This window comes from Homo sapiens, chromosome 5, assembly GCF_000001405.40.
Source record: "Homo sapiens chromosome 5, GRCh38.p14 Primary Assembly".
NCBI lineage: Eukaryota > Metazoa > Chordata > Mammalia > Primates > Hominidae > Homo > Homo sapiens.
Genome location: NC_000005.10, coordinates 74418130 through 74444042, shown reverse-complemented (window position 1 = coordinate 74444042; position 25913 = coordinate 74418130). Strand labels below are relative to the sequence as shown.

The window sequence follows — 25913 nt, the reverse complement described above, 5'->3', positions numbered from 1 at the left end:
CTCCCAAAGTGATGGGATTACAGACGTAAGCCACCGCGCCCGGCTTCTAGCTGGTTTTTAAGTCCACTGTAGAATCAGAGAGAACTGTCTATGAAAAAGCCACTTTGTCTAAGTAAGTGCTTTGGCCCTTAAAACCTGTTGACACAGGTTACATGGTTATTTCCTATGACTGACCAATTCATTCATTCATTCATTCAACAAACTTCCATGGAGTGCCTGCTACGCATGAGAATTGTGCCAGGCACAGGTGATGCAAAAACAAATAGATATTTCCTCTTTTCCAAGTAGCTGAGTAGACAAAGAAATCCCAGATTCTTATAATCATGGAGTTGTGAGAGCAAGATTCCCATCTTATTATAGAAGTGCAGCTTTCTTGCCCACTGATTCAATTGTCACACAAAATCATCAGAGGACTGAAGTGTCTTTTTTCTAGACTATTTTTTAAATAACACATAGTGGTATTTTCTTAGCCTTCTTAATATACTTAAATTAACCTCAGGCTTGAAGGACAAGTTCTCTAAAAAAATCAAGCTTTGGCTGGGCACGATGGCTCATGTCTGTAATCCCAGCACTTTGGGAAGCTGAGGTGGGCAGATCACTTGAGGTCAGGAGTTTGAGACCAGCCTGGGCAACATGGTGAAACCTCATCTCTACTAAAAATACAAAAATCATCTGGGCATTGTGGCACACACCTGTAGTCCCAGCTACTCAGGAGGCTGAGGCAGGAGAATCACTTGAACCCAGGAGGTGGAGGTTGCAGTGAGCCGAGATCGTACCACTGCACTCCAGCCTTGGTGATACGGTGAGACCGCCTCAAAAAAAAAAAAAAAAAAAAAAAAAATCAAGCTTTGGGGGAAAAAGGAAGATATTAACTCTATATTTTGTTTAGTATACCAATTCTCATAAAGAAATATTTTCTTTTTGATTTTTTTGAAGAGTGGAATTTTTCTGCTGGATGCTTCTGAATTGCCCTAATGTCTCATTTAAATAGGTAAATTGGTAGATCAATAGACAAAGAAATAAATACTTAGTGAGCACTTACTATACATCAGGTACTATACTGGATACCAAGGATGTATTTAACGCTACAGAAGACTCCCTGGAGGGTCCTTGTTAAGATTAGATTTGGAAAAAGCTTGTGAAAGTTTCCAGCTAATTTTTAAAAATGAAGTGTGTGTGTGTGTGTGTGTGTGTGTGTGTGTATGAAAACCTATCAACAAAGCTGCTTTGGCTCTGTGTGTGTGTCCTCTGCTATCTTATCCTCACTATAAATTCCTTTCACTTGCAAAATCACAGTTGCTAATGCTATCAGCACACCACCTGGATCCCCTCACCCTGACCACTTCTGTGCTCATCTGCCCAAATTCCAGCCTGCCAGCCTCAGGCTTTCTTTACCTAAGAGTGTTGCAGCCAAGGTCTGTGGGACGGTAAGAATGAGATGCTAGTAAGAGTCTGTATCTTATCGGTACCAAGGCACAAGGAATACCGGCATTCCTCACCACAAGACTCCAAAGCAGAAAGGATTCTTAAAGTGCAGCCAGCAGATGGTGGCTGTACATAGGGCAGGGCACTCCTTCCTGCTTCTGGGCTCCAAAAAAACATTTTCCATAATATCATGTGAAGCTCCAGGGTGGGGAAGAGAGATGACTGCTGAAAATACTGACAAATTCATTCTATACCCAATGTCATAAAAAAATAAGAGAAAGCAGAAGAAATTTTGCTTTGGACAACAGACAGAAGGTTACTAAAATCAAGACTGCACGTACTTTATTGTGTTTTTGGGGGCAAGGGGTGGTGAGAGAGATTGTGAAAAACTGGTGCTAAGCTATTTTTAAGATTGTAACCAGCCCTTTAATCTTTAAAAAATATTAATGATTATGGAAATGCCAAGAACAGCCCTAAAGAAAATGCTGACCACTAGGCACAGTGTCTTTGGGTCCCTTCCAGGCCAAACCTGAGAGCACTAAAGAGGGTTGGGGGAATGGCATCTTAATATACTTCAATTAACTATTGTCCTGAACTTGGTGTCTTCAATCAAATAAAGGTGAGTACAGCAAGGGAATAAACAACCAGATTAGTCAAGCAACCTAGATACTGTCTTTGCCGCTGACTATGAGACACAGAAACCTCTGTGTATTGTGGGTGAAATCAATCAGAGTCTGGTGGCATTGTCAGCTGGAGTCAGCTCTGTGTCCAAACTTGGACTGTATGTCTAGAATCTGTGTCTTAATGTAAATTGGCTTATGGCTCCGTCTCCCTTGGGCATAAGCTTCCATCGTCCAGATGGCAGGGTGACCCCGGTGGAAATAAACATATGGTAGGCTATATCTGTCGCTCACAGAGGAAGAATAAGTACACTGTTTGTAAGAGCCAATTAAACAGGAGTCAGTGCCACAAACAGTGGACATCTCTAACAATAGATTAACAGGAAAGTAAAACTTTGCGGTAAGGGCTATTGATAACTGGGGAGGGAAAAGCCTATCAACGGGATGCTGCATGTTGGTAGAAGGTGGGGGAAAGGAGGGATATAAGAGGAGATATTAAAGCCTGGATATGAATTGTGCTTCGAAATTCTTCTATCGGGGAATTGTGGACAATTGTTGACAATTCCGCCATAGAAGACAGAACAGCTACTTGTCTTGTGGATTCTGGTCAACTTCCGTATTCTTTGGAGAGTGATTGGCTTAGATGGGACTTCCCCAGGAGAAGATGCTAAATCAAGGATCAAAGTGCAAGCAGTTAATTTATGGAACAATGGTAGGAGAGTAGGGAAGTGAAACAGGAAAGTGAGAAGGTAAGCATTAAGGAGAGTGTCATCAAGCCAGCTACCACCCTGAGGGACTGGGAGTTAATCCCTCTGGGGAAGATCTGGCAGCCAGTGTGGAAAACACTCACTCAAAGTCATCCCACCTGAGGGGCAAGGGAGCACCAACTCTTTTTAGTCATGAGTTGAGGACTATTCATGGGGACATTAATTCCACAATACTTTGCTTGCCTCCAAAACAGCAAAGTGGGCTTAGGCAAGAAGAAAACACTCTTCGGTAAAGAAAGACTCATGCTGGGAGTTGAAATTTGGGTAGATGTGCACAGAAGTGGTCCGGGTGAGGGGATCCGGGTGGTGCGTTGATAGCATTAGCAACTGTGATTTTGCAACTGAAAGGAATTTATGGTGGGGATAGGACAGCAGAGGACATACACTCGTATATTTATATACATAAAAATGTATATATGCATTTATTTGTTGCAGAAATCATACCTGAATGGTTGGAAATTGGCACAGAGAAGAATAGGAAAAAGTTACAGTTCTGTTTAAGAAAAAATAAATACCACTTAAGACGAAATAAGTTTCCTTCTTCCTGTTTCATCTGTACTGCTTTCACCCTTTTGGAAATGGGATGTAGCAAAGGGAAGATGTTGTTCTTATGACTAAATATGATTTGAAGATAAAAATGCTAACAGGAATTATTTGGCAACATGGAACTTGCTCTAAGCCTACCTGAAACTTGTGATACATTTTGTGATAACATCATAGGCCACAAAAATCATGAAACCATGCTCATGAACTAGAGCTCATCGTGTCATGCCTATCATAGTTTTATTAGGTAACTTGCTACACTGAATTATAAAGAAGAATATTTATTTATTGGGTTTACTTTATGAGCCATTTGCTATAAAGGAAAGTCTAATGAGCATCTCCCCTTGGTGTTGATTGTATTCTTCTTTTCCCTACAACATACATGAGCGTAAAACAACGTATTTTCGAATCTCACAGGAGGGAGAAAGTGAGGCAGAGAGGGCTGCATGGAGCAGAGTATCTTCAATTGTTTTATTGGGGGCTATGGAAATATTCATTCCATTAGGAGGTGTGTTTGAGTCAATGCCTCATTTCCCTTCTGTGAGGGACAGAAATATAATGGGGCAGTGTCATAGCGTAGGGCCCTGGTTGATGGCCAGTGAGACTTTCCTTGCTACAAGGAAGATTAGCTGTGTCACAGACATATTTACTCCATTTTAAAATCCTGATGCAAATAGGAGAAAAGGAAGTGCATAGGAGATAAAAATCTAAAAAAAATGGGGGCCACATAAACTACGGTTGGCATAATAAGAACTAAAGGTATGCTTGGGTGACCAAGACTTAGGTAAAGACCAAAGCTGGTGACCAGCACTGCTCACAAAGATGAGTACTTAGCTCTGAATGGCTTCTTTCAGGTTGGTTCCATCCATTATGAAATAAGAAATATGGCATTATCTTGTAAATTTAGAATATACAGAATGCAATTTTATAATCAAGAACCAAATATTTTGAATGGGAAAGATGTTAAAAAATTTAATTTTCTGCCAGTGGAATCTTGGAAAGGCAGCCTGGGAAAGTGGCTCTGCAGCTCCCCCCCTCCCCTGCCACACTTGGGCTCAACTCTTATTTCTACTACTCATTAGCTGTGTGACTTTGGGAGGTCACATAATCTCTTTGTCCTTCAGTTTCCTTCTCTGTAAGGTGGAGATATTATAGTGTCTATCTCATAGAGCTATTTGTAAAATATTTAACAATGTCTGTCACATAGTAAACCCTACAAGTGCTTGTAGAATACAATACAAAAATCTTGATGGAAGCCCTTTTATTATGCTCCTTCTGTATCTCAGAGAGTTTTCCAAACATTTAAATTCAGCAAATATGTTTTGAGCACTCACCTGGACTGGACATGCACCAGGCACTGGTCAGAATGAATTTTCATGGTCTCTGCCCTTCTGGGTGCTCATGAGCTAGCTCACAGCCTTTTCTTTGTTAATTAGATTTTTAAAATACTTGCAACAGTGATAAACTTATGAAAAAGTATGAAGTGCAATATAAATAAAGTTTTTTTCTCGACACATGTGAGAGTAAGTGTCACAGAATGCCCATCATTCCAGAGTACTTTAGAGTGTCCTTCCTACAAATAAAAATATTCTCCTCCATAACCACAATACAATTTCCAAAATCAGGACAGTCACAGGGGCACATTATTACCATCTAATCCTCCAACTCCATTCAAGTTTCAACACTTGTCCTTGCAACGTTTTCTATAGCAAAAGGATCCAGGTTGAAATTACATGTTGAATTATGTTGTGATATCTCTTCAGTCTCATTGAGTCTAGACTACCACATCCTCAGTCTTCCCTTGATTTGCATGACCTTCACACGTTTGAAATACTGGCTAGATATTTTGTAGAATGTGCTTCAATTTGGGTTTGTCCGATGTTCTTTCATGATTAGATTTAGGTTGTGCTTTTTTTGGCAGAAATAAGAGAGGAGTGATTCTGTGTTCTATTCATGGTGTCTTAACAGATAGCACAAGATTTTACATTGTTCTCAGCTAATGTTGGTCATTGTGATCACTTGATTAGGATAGTGTGTGCCAGGCTTCCCCACTGCAAAGCTATTCTTTTCTCTTTTGTAATTTATAAGCATTTTGTGGGAGAGGTATTTTGAAACTATGTAAATATTCTGTTCCTCATCAAGCTTTCAATTTGTTTGTTTATTCATTTCAGAATAGACTATTTTATTCAATGGGTTATAATCTGTTGCTATTATAATTTTTTGATGCTCAAATTATCCCTGATTTGGCCAGTGGAGACTAGTCAAGCGGGCCTCTGTGTCCTCTTGGCATTTCTACCTCATTCTTGTTTATTTATTTCTTTTTTCTTAAAAATTATACTTTAAGTTCTGGGAAACATGTGCAGAATGTGCAGGTTTGTTACATAGGTACACATGTGCCATGGTGGTTTGCTGCACCCATCAACCTGTCATCTACATTAGGTATTTCTCCTAATGCTATCCATCCCCTACCGCCCTACCCCCTGATAGGCCCTGGTGTGTGATGTTCCCCTCCCTGTGTCCATGTGTTCTCATTGTTCAACTCCCACTGATGAGTGAGAACATGTGGTGCTTGGTTTTCTGTTTCTGTGTTAGTTTACTGAGAATGATGGCTTCCAGCTTTATCCATGTCCCTGCAAAGGACATGAACTCATCCTTTTTTATGGCTGCATAGTATTCCATGATGTATATGTGTCACATTTTCTTCATCCAGTCTATCATTGATGGGCATTTGGGTTTGTTCCAAGTCTTTGCTATTGTTAACAGTGTTACAATAAACGTTCATGTACATGTGTCTTTATAGTAGAATGATTTATAATCCTTTATATATACTCAGTAATGGGATTGCTAGGTCAAATGGTATTTCTGGTTCTAGATCCTTAAGGAATTGCCACACTGTCTTCCACAGTGGTTGAACTAATTTACACTCCCACCAACAGTGTAAAAGCCTTCCTATTTTTTCACATCCTCTTCAGCATCTGTTATATCCTGACTTTTTAATGATCGCCATTCTAACTGGCGTGGGATGGTATCTCATTGTGGTTTTGATTTGCATTTCTCTGATGAACAGTGATTATGAGCTTTTTTAATGTTTGTGGGCTGCATAAATGTCTTCTTTTGAGAAGTGTCTGTTCATATCCTTCACCCACTTTTTGATGGGGCTGTTTTTTTCTTGCAAATTTGTTTAAGTTCTTGGTAGATTCTGGATATTAGCCCTTTGTCAGATGGATAGATTGCAAACATTTTCTCCCATTCAGTAGGTTCCCTGTTTGCTCTGATGATAGTTTTTTTTGCCATGCAGAAGTTCTTTAGTTTAATTAGATCCCATTGTCAATTTTGGCTTTTGTTGTCGTTGTTTTTGGTGTTTTAGTCATGGAGTCTTTGCCCATGCCTATGTCCCGAATGATATTGCCCAGATTTTCTCCTAGGGTTTTCATGGTTTTAGGTTTTACATGTAAGTTTTCAATCCATCTTGAATTAATTTTTGTATAAGGTGTAAGGAAGGGGTCCATTTTCAGTTTTCTGCATATGGCTAGCCAGTTTTCCCAGCACCATTTATTAAGCAGGGAATCCTTTCCCCATTGCTTGTTTTTGTCAGGTTTGTTGAAGATCAGATAGTTGTAGATGTGTGGCATTATTTCTGAGGCCTCTCTTCTGTTCCATTGGTCTATATATCTTTTTTGGTACCAGTACCATGCTGTTTTGGTTACTGTAGCCTTGTAGTATACTTTGAAGTCAGGTAGTGTGATGCCCCAACTTTGTTCTTTTTGCTTAAGATTGTCTTGACTATATGGGCTCTTTTTTGGTTCCATATGAAATTTAAAGCAGTTTTTTCTAGTTCTGTGAAGAAAGTCAATGGTAGCTTGTTGGGGGATAGCATTGAATCTATAAATTACTTTAGACAGTATGGCCGTTTTCACTATATTGATTCTTTCTATCCATGAGCATGACTGTTTTTCCATTTGTTTGTGTCTTTTCTTGTTTCCTTGAGCAGTGGTTTGTAGTTCCCCTTGAAGAGGCCTTCCACATCCCTTGTAAGTTGTATTCCTAGGTATTTTACTCTTTGTAGCAATTGTGAATGGGAGTTCACTCATGATTTGGCTCTTGGTTTGTCTATTATTGGTGTATAGGAATGCTTGTGATTTTTGCACATTGATTTTGTGTCCTGAGACTTTGCTGAAGTTGCTTATCAGTTTAAGGAGACTTGAGGTTGAGACGATGGTGTTTTCTAAATATACAATCATGTCATCTGCAAACAGAGACAATTTGACTTCCTCTCTTCCTATTTGAATACCCTTTATTTCTTTCTCTTGCCTGATTGCCCTGGCCAGAACTTCCAATACTATGTTGAATAGGAGTGGTGAGAGAGGGCATCCTTGTCTTGTGCCGGTTTTCAAAGGAAATGCTTCCAGCTTGTGCCCATTTAGTATGATATTGGCTGTGGGTTTGTAGTAAATGGCTCTTATTATTTTGAGATACGTTCCATCGATACCTAATTTATTGAGAGTTTTTAGCATGAAGGGGTGTTGAATTTTATCGAAGGCCTTTTCTGCATCTATTGAGATAATCATGTGGTTTTTGTCATTGGTTCTGTTTGCACCCTCCCAATACTAAACTAGGAAGACATCGAATCCCTGAATAGACCAATAACAAGTTCTGAAATTGAGGCAGTAAACAACAGCTTATCAACCAAAAAAAAGTCCAGGACCAGATGGATTCACAGTCAAATTCTACCAGAGGTACAAAGAGGGGCTGGGTATCATTCCTTCTAAAATGATTCCAAATAATAGAAAAAGAGGGACTCCTTGCAAACTCATTTTATGAGGCCAGCATTGTCCTGATACCAAAACATGGCAGAGACACAACAAAAAAAGAAAATTTCAGGCCAATATCCCTGATGAACATTGATGCGAAAATCCTCAATAAGATTCTGGCAAACCGAATCCAGCAGCACATCAAAAAGCTTATCCACCACGATCAAGTCGGCTTCACCCTGGGATGAAAGGCTGGTTCAACATACGCAAATCAATAAACGTAATTCATCACATAAACTCTTGTTTATTTCTACCTCATCTTCCTTGCTTTTTGGCATGATGAGAAGTTGTACTCATCTTACACTTTCTTCCAGGTTTGAAATCAGCTGTTTCTCTAAGTAGCCTGAATTTCCTTTAGTGGAGAAGAGTATTTAGAATACTGTGAATATCTGGGCACTAGGTGCGCTCATTGCCACTGTGATGTCATTGCTCCCAGGTCCTAGCCATGGACAGAACTATATTTATTTCTATATTTATGTATGTATATTGAAAACTATTCATTCACATCAATATCCAATTCCAATGCAACAATACACAGGGTTCATTCTAATTTTCTCCCTTTCTGTTATCCCTAAAATATCTACTTAACTGATCCATCCTCCTATATGTAACCCATCTCCCAGCTCTGTTGCTGCCCCCTACTCCTTGCAGCTCCTCTTCTATTGTAGCTGCCTGGATTCCAACACCTCATACTCCCAGCTCCTTCCTTGCTGCATTTGCACTCTGGCTTATGTCTCCCTGTGGATACCCCACTTACCTGGCTTGGGCTCCAAACCCCATGCCAGGCCACCATCCCATGTGAACCCATTTCTCACCCTGCTCAGGCTTTCTGTCAGTCATTTTCAATCTGACTCCTAGCAGATTTTTAAAAGGATCCACTTGGGTAGATACAAAATGAGTTTAAGCAACTAAACTCTGGGAAAAAAAAAAACAACCCAAGCCCAAATCTATTTAATAACATGTATTACATTTTAAAATAGGTAGATTAGAGTACTAAAATAAAGTTTGTTGATTCTCTTCTTTTCCACTTTAACCCTTTAAATTAAAACAAATACTAGGGCTTAGCTGGGATATGTAGCAGTTGGCTGATGAGGAAGGAAGTGAAGATGATGCTGCCTTCTGGGCTGGCATCTACATAGTGATTATGCAAGACTAGGGTGAAGGAGGCAATGCGGAACAAGGACAGAAGAGGCAGCCTCTTTTCTGCCTTTATTTTATGATTTTTAATCTTGACTTGAGAACCAGATGTTCTGATTAAGGAATGACTGAGGACTGGGGACATGGCCAAGGTTTCAAAAAGAGGCAATGGACAAAAGATGCTTCTGGTAGACCAGGTGACGTCAGAAAGAAAATTAATCTAATTTTATGTAAGTGAATTTCCTCCTGAACCAGGATAGCAGGAAATGTAATCTTTCAGGAAAGACAGAGTTGGAGATTTCATTTTCTACTTATCCCTTTTCCCATGCTAGAGAAACAGTTTTACTTCAAAGAAGCAGACAAGGAGGTGTTTCCTGCAGGGTGAACAGATTTGCAGAGTGGGCTGGTGCTACTCCCTTGATGAGGAACCTCTGTGTGGGGCAGCCTATCTGGGGAATTAAATTGTTCTCTGGCCCTTGCCTGCTGGGCTGCAGGGCCTCAGTGATGGGGATGGGGGGTGGGGCACTCCATAGTTCCCGTGGCTAAATGAGTGCACGTAGCAGGATTGTCCTAAGCTTTGTTTAATGGCATTTCAATGGGGGAAAATGAAGTTCCCGGAACAAAATCCCAAATTGTTCTTGCTTTATCTTCCTCCTAAATGTGTGTATTTCTGAGCCGAAAGGCAAAGGAAGTAAAACTCCACCCACCTCTTCCCCATCTGACCATGTCAGATCCCAAGTATTTGTCTGTGCTCCAATTAAAGAGACGAAGATTCTCGATTTCACCCCAGCTCTTGTCAGTACAGGGAGCTCTTAACTTTCCACACGGAAGTAGAGAAATGTAATTTTGAGGAGAAGTGCTGATTTTTATTGGGCATGACTTAACTCAAGCTGCATCCCTGTTTTTTTTTTTTTTCTTTTTAAGAATAATCACTTCAAAATGATTAATGATGCCTGAAGCCTGACCAGTCTTACTTCCTGTGGTGAAATGTGGAACTTTTGTGCATGTCTGGGTTCGTAGGAGGGTGTGCACCAAACTCTATCAAGAGATAGTTTCCCATACTGTACAAACAGTTGGGTCATTGTTCAGAAAAGCTGACTCTCTGAAGGAAACGTGCTACAGAGTGGTACCATATCCACAGCGGGGAGGGAAGGCTTTGCTTCAGTTACAGAAGGGAAGTAAACTCATTTCCTTCTTAAGGTGCCAGAACAAGAGAGTTGCTTTGTCAGCGGGTGCCTCAATCTGGCTTTTTTGTTGTTGGTGGTGGGGGTTACGAACAATGAGGATGATGTCTTTGAAAACAGGTAGGATTTTTGAAGGGTCACAATAGAGGAATAGGTAGAACAAAGAGTCACATCCTGCTGGGACGCAACCATTCTACTGGACCTCTAGGCTGATCTGGGGGAACAGACTCCTCAGGGGAGCATCCGGCCCTTCCAGCATTTCCCAGGAGCAGCCCTAGCCTGACTGCCAACCACTCTTCATTGAGGACCCAGAACTGGTCTGCAGCAAATGCATTTAGCATTTTTGTGAATCCTGTTTGGAAAAGAGCATGGATGATGCTTATTTAAGAAAGCTAAAACTAACACAGAATACTATTGATAGATTTTTTTTTTACAGGATTTTGGAAGTCTAATAATTGTGTCATGTATATGTTCTCCTACCTCCTTCCCCACTCCTCCATGCTATTCTTTGCATTAATACTCTGAGAAGGGTGATTTGGTGAAAAAGAAAAGCAGACCGTCAGCTTATCTTTTCTGGAGCTCTGAGGAAGCTCTATAGTGATCCTTCCCTTAATAAGTTGTTTTATAGAGAAGCTGAACTTTCCACTGAGGCACAGTGCATGGGATAAAAGACTGGCTTAAGAGATACAAAGTCAGAAAGGGGAAAGGGATACTAGCAGAGCTCTGAGTGCTGAGGGTGGTGCGAGAGAGTGCGTGCCTGTGAGAATGCACACGTGTGTGCAAGCCTTCTCTCTTCTGAACAAATTCATCCCAATAGGTCTCCATTTCCTCAGGACCCATAACATCACCCACTTATGGGAGGGCTATGAAGAACAATGGGTGATAGCTGCAAAGAAATATTAAGGCATGAATTATTGCTTCATGATTGTCTTCTATTAGAAAAGCCACATGTGAGACAAAACAAACAAACAATTCCTCCCCAACGCCCCCCCACCAGCATACAAAAAGTCTACACTGGCTGCTCCTGAGCTGAGCTGTTCTTAGGATACGTTGTGTAAACCAGGCTCTCAATTGCAGAACTGCATTGGCATCAACTGTGTTAGAAACCATAAGTAATTTTGGGCACACTGCCTAAGGGGTTGGAGCCAGGAGGACTGATCTTTATGTTAACAGGCAGAGCACCTGCCTGAGAAATCTGGGAACACAGGTTTTCTTCCCACGACGCCTTCTTCATGCGAATTAATCTATTAGCTGGTATGTGTGTCAGTTTATTTAGGAGCATATGTGCTGACAATTGGCTTCCGACTGTAAAATACGGTCTTGAGGGAGAAAATGATTAATTGCCTGCTTTAAAGTGTGTGTGTGTGTGTGTGTGTGTGTGTATGTGTATGTGTTTGATGACAGTCACTATTAGTATGCATGTGCCTATAAAACTAAAGGCAAACTAACGGCAAATAACCATTAAGACATTGAAATGTGTGAATAAACAAATATAAAAGAAATAGGGCTGTGAACATCTCAAATAGGTCTTTACTATCATAAACATTTTTTGGGGGGGTCTCTGCCTATATCTTACTTTTAAAATGTTATATGTGTTAGTAAACTCTTCATTCTTATCAATGTGAAAAGAATGTAGGAATGGGATTACTTGGTCCCTTGTAGAAATCCAGAGTAACAGACTAGATAATATAGTTTCCAAAATACAAAATGTAGGCCATTTATGGTTGTGAACTATTTTCCCAAATAAAGATACTGAAATAAGAAACAAAACAAAATTGCCATTGTTTCATTATAAAAAGGGCATTTTAACACAGAAAGCAGAAGTACATAGTCTCAATAAAGAGCAAAGCCTTGAGTTGAATATAAGTAATGTGATGAAAGGTCACTGCACTGTTTTTATCTTTCTCATTTTGCTGTGGATGGATATTTGGGAACCCCTCCTTTTTATTGGCACTCTGCATTAGGAATGTCATTATAGCAGTGGTGCTCAGAATTCAAGCGAAGATAAATGGGAAGAGGGATGGCCAGTTTGAAGGCCAGTTTGCCCAGGATGGAGGTATGACAACACTCAGTAAGTGTCTAAGGCACTGCTAAGTGCTTTATGCACATTGCTTCATTTAATTGCTGTCTAGTTTCCAGAAACTGGCGTAAGGATGCTGCTTTCCATTGACCAATGGTCCATCAGCCAGCTACTGAGAGCTTTTGGAGAGTGGCTGTGACTAGCACTTTTAGAAAATAACCAAATGAGGAGCTGAGAAAACAAATTATTGCTGAGACAAAGAGGGTGGATGAGATGGTGGAAGAGGAAAATGGACCAGCTCAAAACTTAAAAATAAAGCCATCAGATGCTGCAGAGGGGGAAAGGAGAGTGGGGAATGAGGAGCAGTCAGTTAGCTAAGTGATGAGGAAATAATCGAGGTCAATAAAGCAGATCCAGGGGTAGGCTGGCAACAGAAATCAGCTTGTACATGGTGCCAACTGGGTTTGGGAAGTTTGGTTAGATAGCTGTTCCAGAAGACAGCAAAGTGATCGTTTTTTCTTTTTAATTTCTTTCTTTTAATAGAAAGATTTGGACTTTCAATCACTCAACAAACATTTATTGGGTGTCTACTAGTAAGGACTGTGCTAAGTGCTGAGGATTTAGACATAAAAGGAGCAATCTCTGCTCTTAAAGAGCTCTCAGTCTGGGAACTTTTTGAGGAAGTCTGAGAGGTGAACAGACAAGGCTAATGTCATGTGTTAAAAGCTCTGGGAGAGGAAAGCCTGGGGCTCTTGCCACACAGGGCAGAGAGTATTAATGATGCAGGAATTTTTTTTGACCCCTTCATCGGACTTGCTACAGGGGTGGTCCATTTACCAGGCCCACTGTGCTCAACCTTTTGCAGGAGGGAGTGCATTAGCAAGCGAGTGCAGGATCTGGCTGGATGCTTTGGGTGCTGGCAGGAGCAGGTTCCATGTGGCCCCATGGTGGTGCCCAGATGGGGATGCCTGTGACCGCCGAAGCCCCAGAGGGTGTGTTACGATGATCTCTTAGCTCTGCCATCTGTGGACAGCAGTGTGTTATCAGCTCAGTGGGCCCCTTGCCTCATCACGTTGGGTGGCTGTCCTCTGCCAGCAAGGGCAAAGGGCCAGTGTGACAACCTTTTTTGAGTACCCACACTTGGTGGGTCCTGAGCTCTTGTCCAGTGCCCAAGAAGAATTAGGTTGCATGGAAACTTGAAGGATGGTGGAGGCAGAGAATTTTTTTTTTTTTTAGTGATGGAAGTGGCTCTCAGTAGAGAGGGGATAGCTGGAGAGGGGACAGGATGGGCAGGTAATCTTCCCTGAAGTCTGGCTGTCTCCACATGGCTCTTCTCTGAAGTTAAGCTGTCTCTCCTCTGAAGTCTAGCCGTCGCTCTGAAGTCAAGTCACCTCTCTCCAGTCAAGCCACTTCTCCCTCTCTACTACTGAGTCTGGGGTCTTTATAGGCACAGGATAGGAGGTGGGGCAGGCCATAGGTAGTTTTGGAAAAGGCAAAATTTGATTGGTAAAAAGACATTATTCAGAAAGAACCAACTGGGTGCAGTGGCTCACACCTATAATCCTAGCATTCTGGAAGGCCGAGTTGGGTGGATCACCTGAGGTCAGGAGTTCTAGGCCAGAAAGAACCAATCAGGAGAGAGTGGGCAAACAGGGATAGAAGTTCCCACTTCAGGCTGTGGGTTTCAGGCTTTTTGGCTTGATGGTGGGGTTTCGCCAGGGACCCACCCTTGTCTGCCTCTATCTATCATTAACTTTCACTGAAGATGGCCGATGGTTGGGAACAGCATCACAGAGGTCAATGCTGAGCTAGGCTTTGAGGGATGATTAGGAGTTTTCTGGCAAAAAATGGAGGAATGGCCTTCCAGGCAGAGAAAACAGTGGGTGCAAAGGAATGGGGGGATCTCAGTGAGCTTCACAGCTGGATTGGAGAACACTATAAGCGTAGCATTGACTTGGGAGGCACTTATGAGTTGCATTGCACACTATGCTGAGTAGTTGGGATTTCAACGTACCAGTAGATCAAGGGGAAGCAGCCAGCTGAGCAAAGGCACGATATCCAAAAAAGAGGGGTTGTCACTGAGGGAAAGGGAGAGGAGCTGAGTGAGGGTAAAAGTGTTTTCGAGGTGGGAAGGAGGAATGTGAAGGTAGCTGGTGAGGGACAGTGTTGGTGTCCTCTGCACAGTAGCTGCTGAGGCCATCTGGCTGTGACGAAGAGATGAAATAGGGAGGGGGTTTGGAGGAGGGTCCTGGGGAATTCTAAAGAGAAGTAAAAGGATTGCCATATTGTTATTATTTGAGATTCACAAAGACTTTCATCAGATACGTAACTGATTCTCATTGACACCATTGCCCCTACATCTGTTGTTCTGCTTTTAAATGAAGTGTGATATTTCTTTCCAATATCCATTTCCTGCAAAAATATCAAGTGACAGGCATGGTCGTTCTGAACAGGAGCCAAGGTGTGTTGATTACAAATTCTCTGTCCTCTTGTTGAAACTTGTTTATATTTCACAGAGTCAAACATCAACCAGCAGGAAGGACCCTTTATGGAACACCAGTCAGGACTAGTGGTGGGAGCTTTTTAATAAAGAGGACAATTAGGACAAGTATTTGAAGTCATTAATGTGTATCATTAATGTGTAAATTTCTACCAAATTTTTTTTTTAATCTGAAAGAGAAGAATGGCAGAATAGTGTGGCTAGGGCAAAGAGCACTTGTTCTGGAGTCCAGAGGCTGTGGGTTTTGACCAGGTCATACCATTAATAATCTGTGTAATCTTGGGTTAATCTTGGGTGAAACGACTTCTTGGTTCCAGTTTAGATTACATTTTTCCTTTTTTCCCCTCACACACCACAGTGATATAAATACAATTATGATAGAGGACTGTAGACTTTCAACACATGATTTTATAGATACCAAGAAATAATTTCTGGAAATAATTCTGAATTCTATTCCTATACCTAACTCATAAAGTGAAATTGACTACTTCGTGTTATCAGTTTGTGAAAAGTTGAGTCTGCTTATGGGATTCCACCATAAGAGAAAAAGGGACTGGAATATGAGAAGATCAGCATGTGAGAATCAGAGTCATCTGCCATGGGAACATTTTGGAGAAATTAGAAATGGTAAAAGAAGCAGAGGCGGTATAGAAGGCCTCTGATGTTTGATGTTATCCATATAATGTTAACATATAATTTAGATGATTTGTGGCTAGTTTTCAGAAGATAAAGATTTATGAGTTATTTCTTTGATAAAATAAAAGGGGGAGATGAAGAAAAAAAAACCTTTTCACAGGGATAATAATGATACAATCTATTCACGCAAAGGATTTTTTGTTTGTTTGTTTGAGACGGAGTCTCGCTCTGTCACCTCGGCTGGAATGCAGTGGTGCGATATCTGCTCCCTGCAAGCTCTGCCTCCCGGGTTCACCCCATTCTCCTGCCTCAGCCTCCCCAGTAGCTGGGACTACAGGCGCCCGCCACCACTCCCGGCTAATTTTTTGCATTTTTAGTAGAGACGGGGTTTCACTGTGTTAGCCAGGATGGTCTCAATCTCCTGACCTCGTGATCCACCCGCCTCAGCCTCCCAAAGTGCTGGGATTACAGGCGTGAGCCACCGCGCCCGGCCGCAAAGGGGTTTTTTTTTTTTTTTTAAAGGAATTAACTACATGGTAGACAGAATAATGCCACCTTCCAACTCCTTACTCCCCTTAACCCACTGCCCCTGCCAAGATGGCCATGTCCTGATCCCTGAAACCTGTGAATATTTTATCTTACAGGTCAAAGGGACTTTGCAGGTGTGATCACGTTAAAGATCTTGAGATGGGAGATTGGAGATAGATCACAGATTATTTGGGTGGGCCCAATGTAAGCATCTTATAAGGATCCTTCTAAAAGGAAGGTAGGAGTGTCAGAATCAGAAGATGATGAGAGCAGGGGAGAGAAGGAGGTGTGATGGTAGAAGCAGAGGTCAGAGTGATGCCATCACTGGAAGGAGGCCCTGAGCCAAAGCAGCAGATGGCCTCCAGAAACTGACAAAGGCACAAAATCTCTGCAGGGCCTTCCGAAGGAATGCAGTCCTGTCAGCACTGGACACCTTGGTTTTAGTCCCTTAAGATCTATTTTTGGACTTCTGACCCTCGGAAGTCTAAGATAATAAAGTCGTATTGTTTTAAGTCATTTAAGCAGCAAGAGGGAACTAACAAAAACATATTGAGTGGTCCTGATCCTCTGGGTTACATATTGCTCCTGCGTTACAAACTTCTCTGTGCCTTTAATTCACCCCAAACTTTTTTCTCTTGTAGCCCTGGTCATTCTTTTGTGTAACTGTCCCTTTAATTTTTTGTTTCCTCACTAGATGTAAGCTCCCTGAGGTTAGGGAGGGCAGGGAATTGGCCCTTTTTGTGTCTCAGTTCTGGGTGCAGAGCTGAGTATGAAGTAAGAACACAATCATGGGTTAATAATGTGAACTAATCAAATCGATGCCACATGAAGGATTTTCAAATGGATGAAAAGGATCACATGGATCAAAGGGAATCGTGTCTGCTGCTCCCGCTTGGTAAGATCTGGGTGTCACTCTTTGAAGATACCAAATGAAGGTGAAAATGGCTTATGAGAGAATGCAAGGAAATGTCCTTTTATTTCAGAACTCCTTGGTTCCAGCCATTTTCTTTTCTCCTTTTCTTCCCTTACACTGAAATCTGGCATGAACAGTTGGCTCCTGTGGGTGACTGAGCCTGGATGGGCTGTGAGGCCCTCTGAGATGACCAGCTCAGGCAAGGTCTTTGCCAAGTCTTGTTGAGTTCACACAGCCTATTTGCTGGAATGATCCCCACGTGTACTGATCCACCTTTAATGCTCTGTGCTGGGTCTCTTGGGGCTAGAGGCCTTCTGGAGACTCCATTTAACATCTGCTCTCTAGGTCTGGGCTTTGATCCAGCCTTCAGATGCTCACTGATCTCTGGGGCAAGGAGAGTCTTTTCTGTCTGGATGCTGGTTGCACCTCTTCAGTTTGTGGCCAAGTTCTTGTGAGACTTGTCCTCTCCATGGGAGATATTTTAATGGAAGCTGGGTTTTCACTAGGGATCTGCTTCCTATCTTCCCTCTATGGCCTTGGCCAAGTTTCCCTAGAGGCCGCACTGTAAATTCCACAATTTTGGCTACTCTGTATCAGCAACTCTTGGGTTCCTGTGCCTCAGGATCCTAAAGAAGGCCTGGTCCTCACTCCTACATGAATCCTGTCTGTCCTCTATTTCATTTCTTCACTTACTCTCCATCCTGGATATCTTTGTTTATCAAAGGAGCTCCCTTCAGTCTTCCCCAGCAGCCATGGGTGGTCCTGAGACTTCTTTCTCCACACAGGGTGGCCATTTTTCTCCTGCTACTGAATTGCTATTTCATCCCGTACATTCTCATGGTGAAGACAGCCTCCCTCTTTTTCAAAGAAGCCATAGACATTTAAAAATTTATAAAATAAAGAAGTATTAAAAAAAGAACACAAGTGTGTTCAGGCTGCAACTCTTGTCTTGCAACTACTGATTTGCCAGAGTTGGCTTAGTGGATGGAGATGGGGAGCTGCCCACTCTCTCTGTCACCAGGCTAACAACAGCTCTCAAAAATGCATACTAGGTTGAAAGAATGGTCATCTTGGATAGAGGAAGGCATTTCAATAAAGAAATTAGAATAACATGGGGGGCATATACCCCAAAAATTGAGAGCAGGGACTTGGCAGGTATCTGTACACCCATGTTCATAGCAGGATTATTCACAACAACCAAAGGTGGAAACAATCCAAATGTCCATCAGCAGACACAGATAACAATGTTTAAATGGAGAAACAAAATGTAATGCAATAAAATATTACTCATCCTTAAAAAGGAATCAAATTTTGATACACACTACATTGTGGATTAAACTTGAAGATATTATGCTAACTAAAGTTAGCCAGACATGAAGAGACAAATATTGTGTGAGTTTATTTATATGAGATACCCAGAAGAGTCAAATCCTTAGAGACAAGAATTAGAATGGTATTTACCAGGGGCTGGAGAAGGGGAGAATGTGAAGTTATTATTTCATAGGTGCAGACTTTTAGTTTGGGAAGACAAAAAAGTTCTGGAGATGAGTGGTGGTGATAGTTGCATAATGATGTGAATCTACTTAATGTCACTGAATTGTACACTTAAAAATGATTAAAATGGGTGGCTCATGCCTGTAATCCCAGTACTTTGGGAAGCCAGTGTGAGAGGATCACTTGAGGCCAGGAATTTGAGACCACTCTGGGCAACATAGCAAGACCTCATCTCTAGAAAAAATAAAAAATTAGCTGGCTGTGGTGGCGTGCCTCTGTGGTCCCAGCTAGTTGGGAGGCTGAAGCAGGAAGAGCACTTAAGCCCAGGAGGCCAAGGCTGCAATGAGCTGTGGTTGTGCCACTGTACTCCAGCCTGGGCAACAGAGTGAGACCCTGTCTCAAAAAAAAATGGTTAAAGTGGTAAAAATTATGCTATGTATATTTTACCACAATAAGACATATATTATAAGTATAACATGGAAATTGCAGTTTTGTGGTTTTTCCACTATTTATATTCACTTTTTGGTCAAGAATCTGCATTAAAAAAAACAAAAGATGTGCAAAAATTGTTGGAGGAGATTGTCTATTAATATAGTTTTCATTTATGTGTCTTCTTCTTTCCAAGTAATGGTGAGAAAATCTTATTTAAACAGCACTCAAGGACACACTCCTACTAAGTAATTTTTTCCTGTGACTTTTGCACACTAATATACAAAAGAAAACATGCTTAATGAGTCAAATGAGTATTTGCAAAAGTTACCCAATAAGCTTGCTGACTGTGGCAACTCCTTGTAGTTGTGCCAGGTAACCGAGATTTTGCAATTCATCCACACATATTGAATAACACTTTTTGTCTTGGGATCCTTTACTTCACATAGGAAGTATGTGACCTCCAGGTACCAAGCACTCTGAAAGAGAGCTTCGATTCAAACAAAGTAAGCAGTTGGATTCCTCTTCGTTCAGGTAATTTTTGTGGCTGATATTTGTGTTGAATTTTTGAAAAACAAACACCACCTGCTTGTCCTGAGAATAAGAGTATGGGTGAAATGAATACAGATTTGATGGGCAGATGCCCTGAGCACTTGGCGGACTTATAGGGTGATTTCTAGTGAGTCATTTTGCCTGCCTACAATGGTACAGTAAGGGTTTGAAGTGGTCCACACGATACCTTCCAGGTCTTCCCAGGTCAATTGAGGTTATCTACTTTTTTCTAATTTGGGGTGCAGGCATGCTGAGAATGGAATCACCTCCTCTAATATAATTTTAAATGAAAACAATATTAAACCATAAAAACTGTATAAGGAACTTCAACGAGATTCTAGTATTTTTGCTCTGATGACTAATTGGGAACAGTTTTGAAATATCAAATTGAAATTATTTTGAAGTGTCCAACTGATAGGGTTTGGATCTGTGTCCCCACCCAAATCTCATGTTAAATTTTAATCCTCAGTGTTGGAGGTGGGGCCTGGTGGGCAGTGATTTGATCAAGGGGGCAGATTTCTCATGAATGGTTTAGCACCATCCGTCTTGGTACTGTCCTCATGACAGTGAGTGAGTTCTCATGAAATCTGATTGTTAAAAGGTGTGTTTAAAGCATTTCCCCCCTCACTCTCTTGCTCTTGCCAAGTGATATTTCTGCATCCCCTTCGCCTTCCACCATGATTGTAAGATTCCTAAGGCCTCCCCAAAAGCCAAGCAATGCTAGCATCAGGCTTCCTGTACAGTCTGCAGAACCATGAGCCAATTAAACTTCTTTTCCTTATAGATTACCCAGTCTCAGGTATCTCTTTATAGCAATGAGAGAACAGCCTAGTACATGGACCTTCTTATTCTTCCCTTCCCCTTCCCTCCTCTTTCCTTCCCTTCCCTTCCTTTCCCCTCCACTTCCCTTCCTCTTCCCCTCTCCCTTTCCCTTTTCTTTCCTTCACTTCCCTTCCCCTCCTTTCCCCCATCCCTTCCCCTCTCTTCTCCTCCCCTTGCCTCCCTTCCTCCTCTGCCCTTACCGCCCTTTTTTCCTTCCTTCCTTCCCTCCTTCCTTTCTTCCTTATTTCCCCTTCTTTCTTTCTTTCTTTGTCTTTCTTTGCTTTTGTTTTGCAATTCATGCACCCCAGTACCGTTTATTTCACTTTTTGTGTCATCCAATGATGCAAAAAAATAAAAAGCCAAAAAAAGCCAAATAAAACCCTATCTGTCCTACCATACTGTAATGTCTTCAGACAAGGATTGTAGGTGGCTACAAGAATATATAATGGGAGATGTAGGGGGAGGTGTAGGGAGTTGGCAAGTAAATGATTGGTCAAAGTTATCTGAAAACAGAAAAGACAGGGAGGGTGTGGGGTCAACCCCCAGCCCCAGCTTTTTCTTTTTTGCCAACATTCCTCCCTAACTCCTGCACACAAAGCCTGAACTCTGGCCTCTTCTAGGAGAAAATGGATGGGAACCCAAAAGAGGAGAACAGGAAGTGATGTCATGCATATGCTTTCTCTTTGGGACAGGTGGGTGGTGTGGGTAGTGCTGGGGTCCTGTGGTTTTACGTTGGAGACACCTTGTCTCTGAAAAACCAGACAGTCGCATGAGGCTGGAAGGTGGAGATCCCATGAGTTTCCTACCCGGGGCTGTTGTTGTTAGACCCAGAACGGGGAGGAAGAGGACCCTGTGGTTTCTCTCTGGGTTGTTCATATGACTCAGATTGGCCTGATGGGATAAAGGGAAGACATGCTGTCCCTGAGCAAAGATGATGTATTTGACAGGGCCTTTTCCTGATAACATGGAAGTGGAGGTTAGCTTGGAGCAATGAAAAACTCCTCTAGTAGCATTTGAAATATTGCTAAATATCAATCATGGTACTAAGTTATATCTATTAGCCCAGCTAAGTGTTTTTATTATATCATTTCTTTTTTAACCTTCTGATACACTGCTATTTCCTTTGTTTAAAACATATGAGGTAGGTATTATTATTATTATCCCTGTTAAAAGATAAACTGAGGCATATTAAAATTTTGAAGAGTTTATTTGAACAGATTGGGATTCATGAATCAGGCAGCTCCAGGATGCAGATAGTTTGGGGCTCCAACGAAGAGGGGTTGGGCGAGGTTTTTATAAGCAAAACTAGGAGGCAAGGCAAAGAAAATATTTGACTGGTTAAAGTGGAGCAATAACCTCCAAGTCCATAGTTAGAAGATAGTTGGTGGTTTCTAATTGGTAAAGTCCATAGTTAGAGGCTAGTTGGCAGTTTCTGATTGGGAAAACATAAGTTTCACTTTCTCGGATATGGCAGTTCACATTGAATTGAGTTTGGGTTTGCTTACATGGGAACCTGGCAGTAGGGCTACCTCAGTCTAATGGTTTCCCAATTAATTATTTTAATGCTCCATCTTAGATATTGAAACTGTAATATGAAGTTATTTGCCTAAAGACAGGGTGACTAAGGGGCAGTACTTACTACCTCCTTTCTTTACTCTTTCAACACTGTTGATTCTTATATTTTACTTAGAAATAACTTGATCCACTGTGTATGCCAGGAAACAAAGTGAAGTCTTATTTGAAAACCATCTCAGGGAATTTGCTGCAGGTAGAAGAGAGAGAAAAGCGGTCTTCTCTGAGCCAAGCTCGTTGCCAGCTTAGGCAGGCAGTACTTCCCACAGCCTGGCTACTTTGATGGCTTAAAACAGGCATGCTGTAATTTAACTAGCATTAGGGAGTGACAGTAAAAAGAAACCATTTTGAGGTGTGGGCTTCTTGAGGTGACATGGAGATATATAACGTTTTTTTTTTTTCTTTTAATGGTGTTTTAGTTTGGGCAATAATACAAGTTGAGCAATTTTGCATTCTGAATAAAAGGAGAAGCAAACACTATAATGTTAACTGAGGACACAGAGCTACCAGTGCCAGTGACAATGGCAGATGAGAACCACCAGCTGAAGGGATGCCAGCTTAGGGCTCCAGGGGACCCAGACCCCAGTGGGAAGCACCCTCTGGCTGGGCTGGTTGTTCTCTGCTCCTTCCCTGACTGTATGCTCTGTGCTCTGAAGCCTGGGCCTTGAGGACTGCATCTCCTGGGCCCCCTATCTTCTGGTTAGGTTTGGCCAGTGGAAGATACCAGCAAGAGCCTGGCAGGCAGGAGTGCAGACAGCTTGGGTTATTTCTTCTGTAGTTGCTCCCTGCTCTGGTGATGTGTCTACAGAAGTTGCTGTCTCCTCTTCAAAGACAGCTTCACCAGGCTGCCCCTCCTCCAGGACTCCAGTGCAAAATGGACTCGGGTATCACAATTTCTCCTGTATATCCCTTCAGCCCCAGTGGTTGTAATGACTGCAGCTATTGCTAGTCCAAAGGTTCCTCCCATCCCTTTCTTCATCTACCTCTTGCCACACCCCACTAAGCCATCCCTTCATTGTCACCTCTCCATTCACTCCATCTGAGGTTGACATCTTTTTTTTTTTTGCCAGGACCTTGTGTGCTTCTCAAATGGAATGTGCATAGGAGTTGCATGGGGATCTGATTAGATGGAGGTTCTGATTCAGTAGGTTTGGGGTGGGGCCCAAGACACTGAATTTCCAAGAAGCACCCAGGTGATGCTGAGGCTACTGGTCTATGGACCTTACTTACTTTTCCTACTCACTGTATGGTCAGAATTGCTGGTAAATATGGCCCAAGAAATGTAAAAGTTGAGTCTCATTATAAAGCACTGTAAGTAAAAATGTAGGCTTCTTCTTATCCTGAAAGTCAGGAATGGTTTTTTGTAAAAACAACAAAAAGCAGAAGACATTCTGCTGTTCAAGTTTGGCTCTCCACTCTCACCCTCCCCCGTGTGTGTGTGTGTGTGTGTGTGTGTGTGTGTATTATAAACATAGGCAATTGAGGGATTTCCGGGTTCACTAATGGCTGAATGATTGTGGGTCATTTCAGAAAATCTGAGCCTGAACACAGGGACAGGAAGGGTGGTATGGAGATATAGAGCTTGTTTTTTTCTTTTTTTTTTTCTTTTAGACCAGGGGCAGATTAAGGCCCATAGGCCAAATCCAGCATGTCATCTGTAGTTGTAAATAAAGCTTTATTGGAACACAGGAATGATCATTTGCTTTAAGTATTATCTATGGCTGCTTTTGCCCTAAGTCGGCAGAGTTGAGTTGTTACAAGAAAGACTATGTGGCCATAAAGCTTAAAATGTTGACGACCTGGCTTTTTACAGAAGAAGATTACTGATCCCTGGCTTAGGCTATTGTGTAAAGTTTCTCAAGAATTAAGATCTTTGAGCAAAAAGGAGTCTTAGGAATCATCTTGTCTCATTTCACAGATGAGGAAATGGATACTCACATTCTCCCCGCTAGCTTTAATCTGTATTTTTAAAAGACACAAGGAAAAAATTGGAGGGAATTTGGAGGAAAAAAACCCCAAGAATTAGATGTCCTTTGAGAAAAACCAAACTCTAATGATAGAAGTTAGGAAACTAAAGATGTGACAATAATTACTTCCAAGTTATTAGAGAAGCAAGCTGAACTGTTATTCTCCATTTCCACATAGGAAAGGTTTTTCCAACTTTAAATGGGTCAGATGTTGGAATTATATTTCCAAGGGAGTCCAGGGCCTGGATATCTTTAAAACAGATATGAACAGCTGCTCAAAATGACTTAGGCTAAGATTGATGATATTTCCCAGGCAGCACCCTAACTTGCCATTCATTCCTTCACTACCAAACAGTAAGAAGAAGTGAGGGGGCCCAAGTCAGGAGTCGGGCAATTAGGCACGTGCTCACACACACACAGAGGACTCTGTTCTCTACACCCCTGGCCATGTTAAAAATCATCTCGAGGCTAATGAGACGTCAAACATTTGTGTAAGCATTCATCACCTGGGATGAAGGATGCCTCTGAGCTTAGTAATTCTGAGAATAGAATGATGGTATTAATACCTTAGGCCCTTTAAAAATAACTTTAGTAATAATTTGTAACCCTTGTAGATACAGAGAAGAAAGTGTGCAAAATTTTGATTTGTCATAGTACATGTCATGGGCTGAGGCAGTCATTGCTAATGAAAGCCAGCTACAAAATTATTGGACTTTTTTTTGTGTAAAATCTTGCTTTGGGATGCTTTAAGCTCTTGGGAGACTCAGCTCTCTAGAGACTAAATAGAGAATGCACAGTTCTCTTGTTTTAATTGTGATCTCTGAAGATGAAAGAACTATATATTAATTTCTGTATTTCCAATCTTTAGTGCAGCCTTGAACACTGTAGGTAGAGAATAAATGTTTATTTTTTTTATTGGGGTGGGGATAGGGTGTATAGCAGGTATGCATTATATTATAGTATTCAGTCTTTCAGAAAAACAAGAAATGCAATCATGGTGAGCTACCAAGTATGGATAATTAAGACAATTACATTGGCTCTGAGAAAATGTGCTTCTTGGTCTCAGGCGCTCCTGCCCTTCCCTGGGCATATCAAGGTCAGCCTGGTTTAGATCTGCTGACAGGTAGCAATTGCCTAAGCAGTACATTTCTGTTAATTCACACTGAGATCTTGACAATAATGCTTGGAATTTATATTGAGTCTTTCATCTTTGAAGTTCAATGTTCTAACTCTAATCTTTATGACTTCCTTGTGAGGTAGGAACTAGCCAGTTGCTTTTATTGTATTTTTACAGGTGGAGGTGGGGAATGTGACGGACATATAGGTTCAAGGACCTGCTTAAGGGCTCTGAATGAGTCAGGGCCAGGGTGGGAATGGAGCTGGACATTTTGTAGCCCAAATAAGGAATAAAATATTTATTTTTTTCTCCCAGGGAAAAGTTGGGTAAGTGCAGTATGCCTTTAAAAAAAATCCTTAGGAGAGATACATTTGCAATGAATCTTATGTAGCTTGTTTCAAATATGTTTAGAGTCAGAGAGATGGAAATCAAAGAAACTGCAAAGTCTATATTTTCTAAAATTTCTTCTAAAGCACTCATAAGGTCTTTGGTTTAATTGCTGGATTTAATTTGAAGCTTAGAATATATTCATCATTCCTACTTTCCCATTCAGCCCAGCTTTTCTTCCCAGATTCCCAGCTGATCTTCTTTCTTTAAAGTAACTATTAAACTGTCTCTGTTTCAACTCGCAGGCTTATTATGTCTTGGTGATTATCACTCAAACCTAAGGCTTAGGCATATGCCTTTTCTCTGATCCTAATACAGTCCCTGAAGATCAACTCAGCAATGACAGTTGAAAAATGCAAGACTTTATAATTGAAATATGATGATTATTTGGAGGACAATATAGAGTTGCAATACTGTTTAAAAACTAGTCTCTGTAAACAACAATAAAACCTAACGTAATTATACAGAGAGATGGAATAATATATGTTA

At 41.4% G+C, this 25913-nt stretch overlaps 1 long non-coding RNA gene across 5 annotated transcripts in view, besides 1 other annotated feature; it reads left to right on the top strand.

The window, feature by feature from the left end:
• LINC01331 (long intergenic non-protein coding RNA 1331) overlaps positions 1–25913 on the top strand; it is a 209330-nt gene that overhangs the window by 92731 nt on the left and 90686 nt on the right. The window lies entirely within an intron of this gene.
• Positions 10216–10305: an enhancer, noted in NCBI's record as "active region_22665". NCBI's record gives its function as "activates an Ori minimal core promoter by ATAC-STARR-seq in GM12878 lymphoblastoid cells {active_cell/tissue: GM12878}" and the evidence as "EXISTENCE:reporter gene assay evidence [ECO:0000049][PMID:35858748]".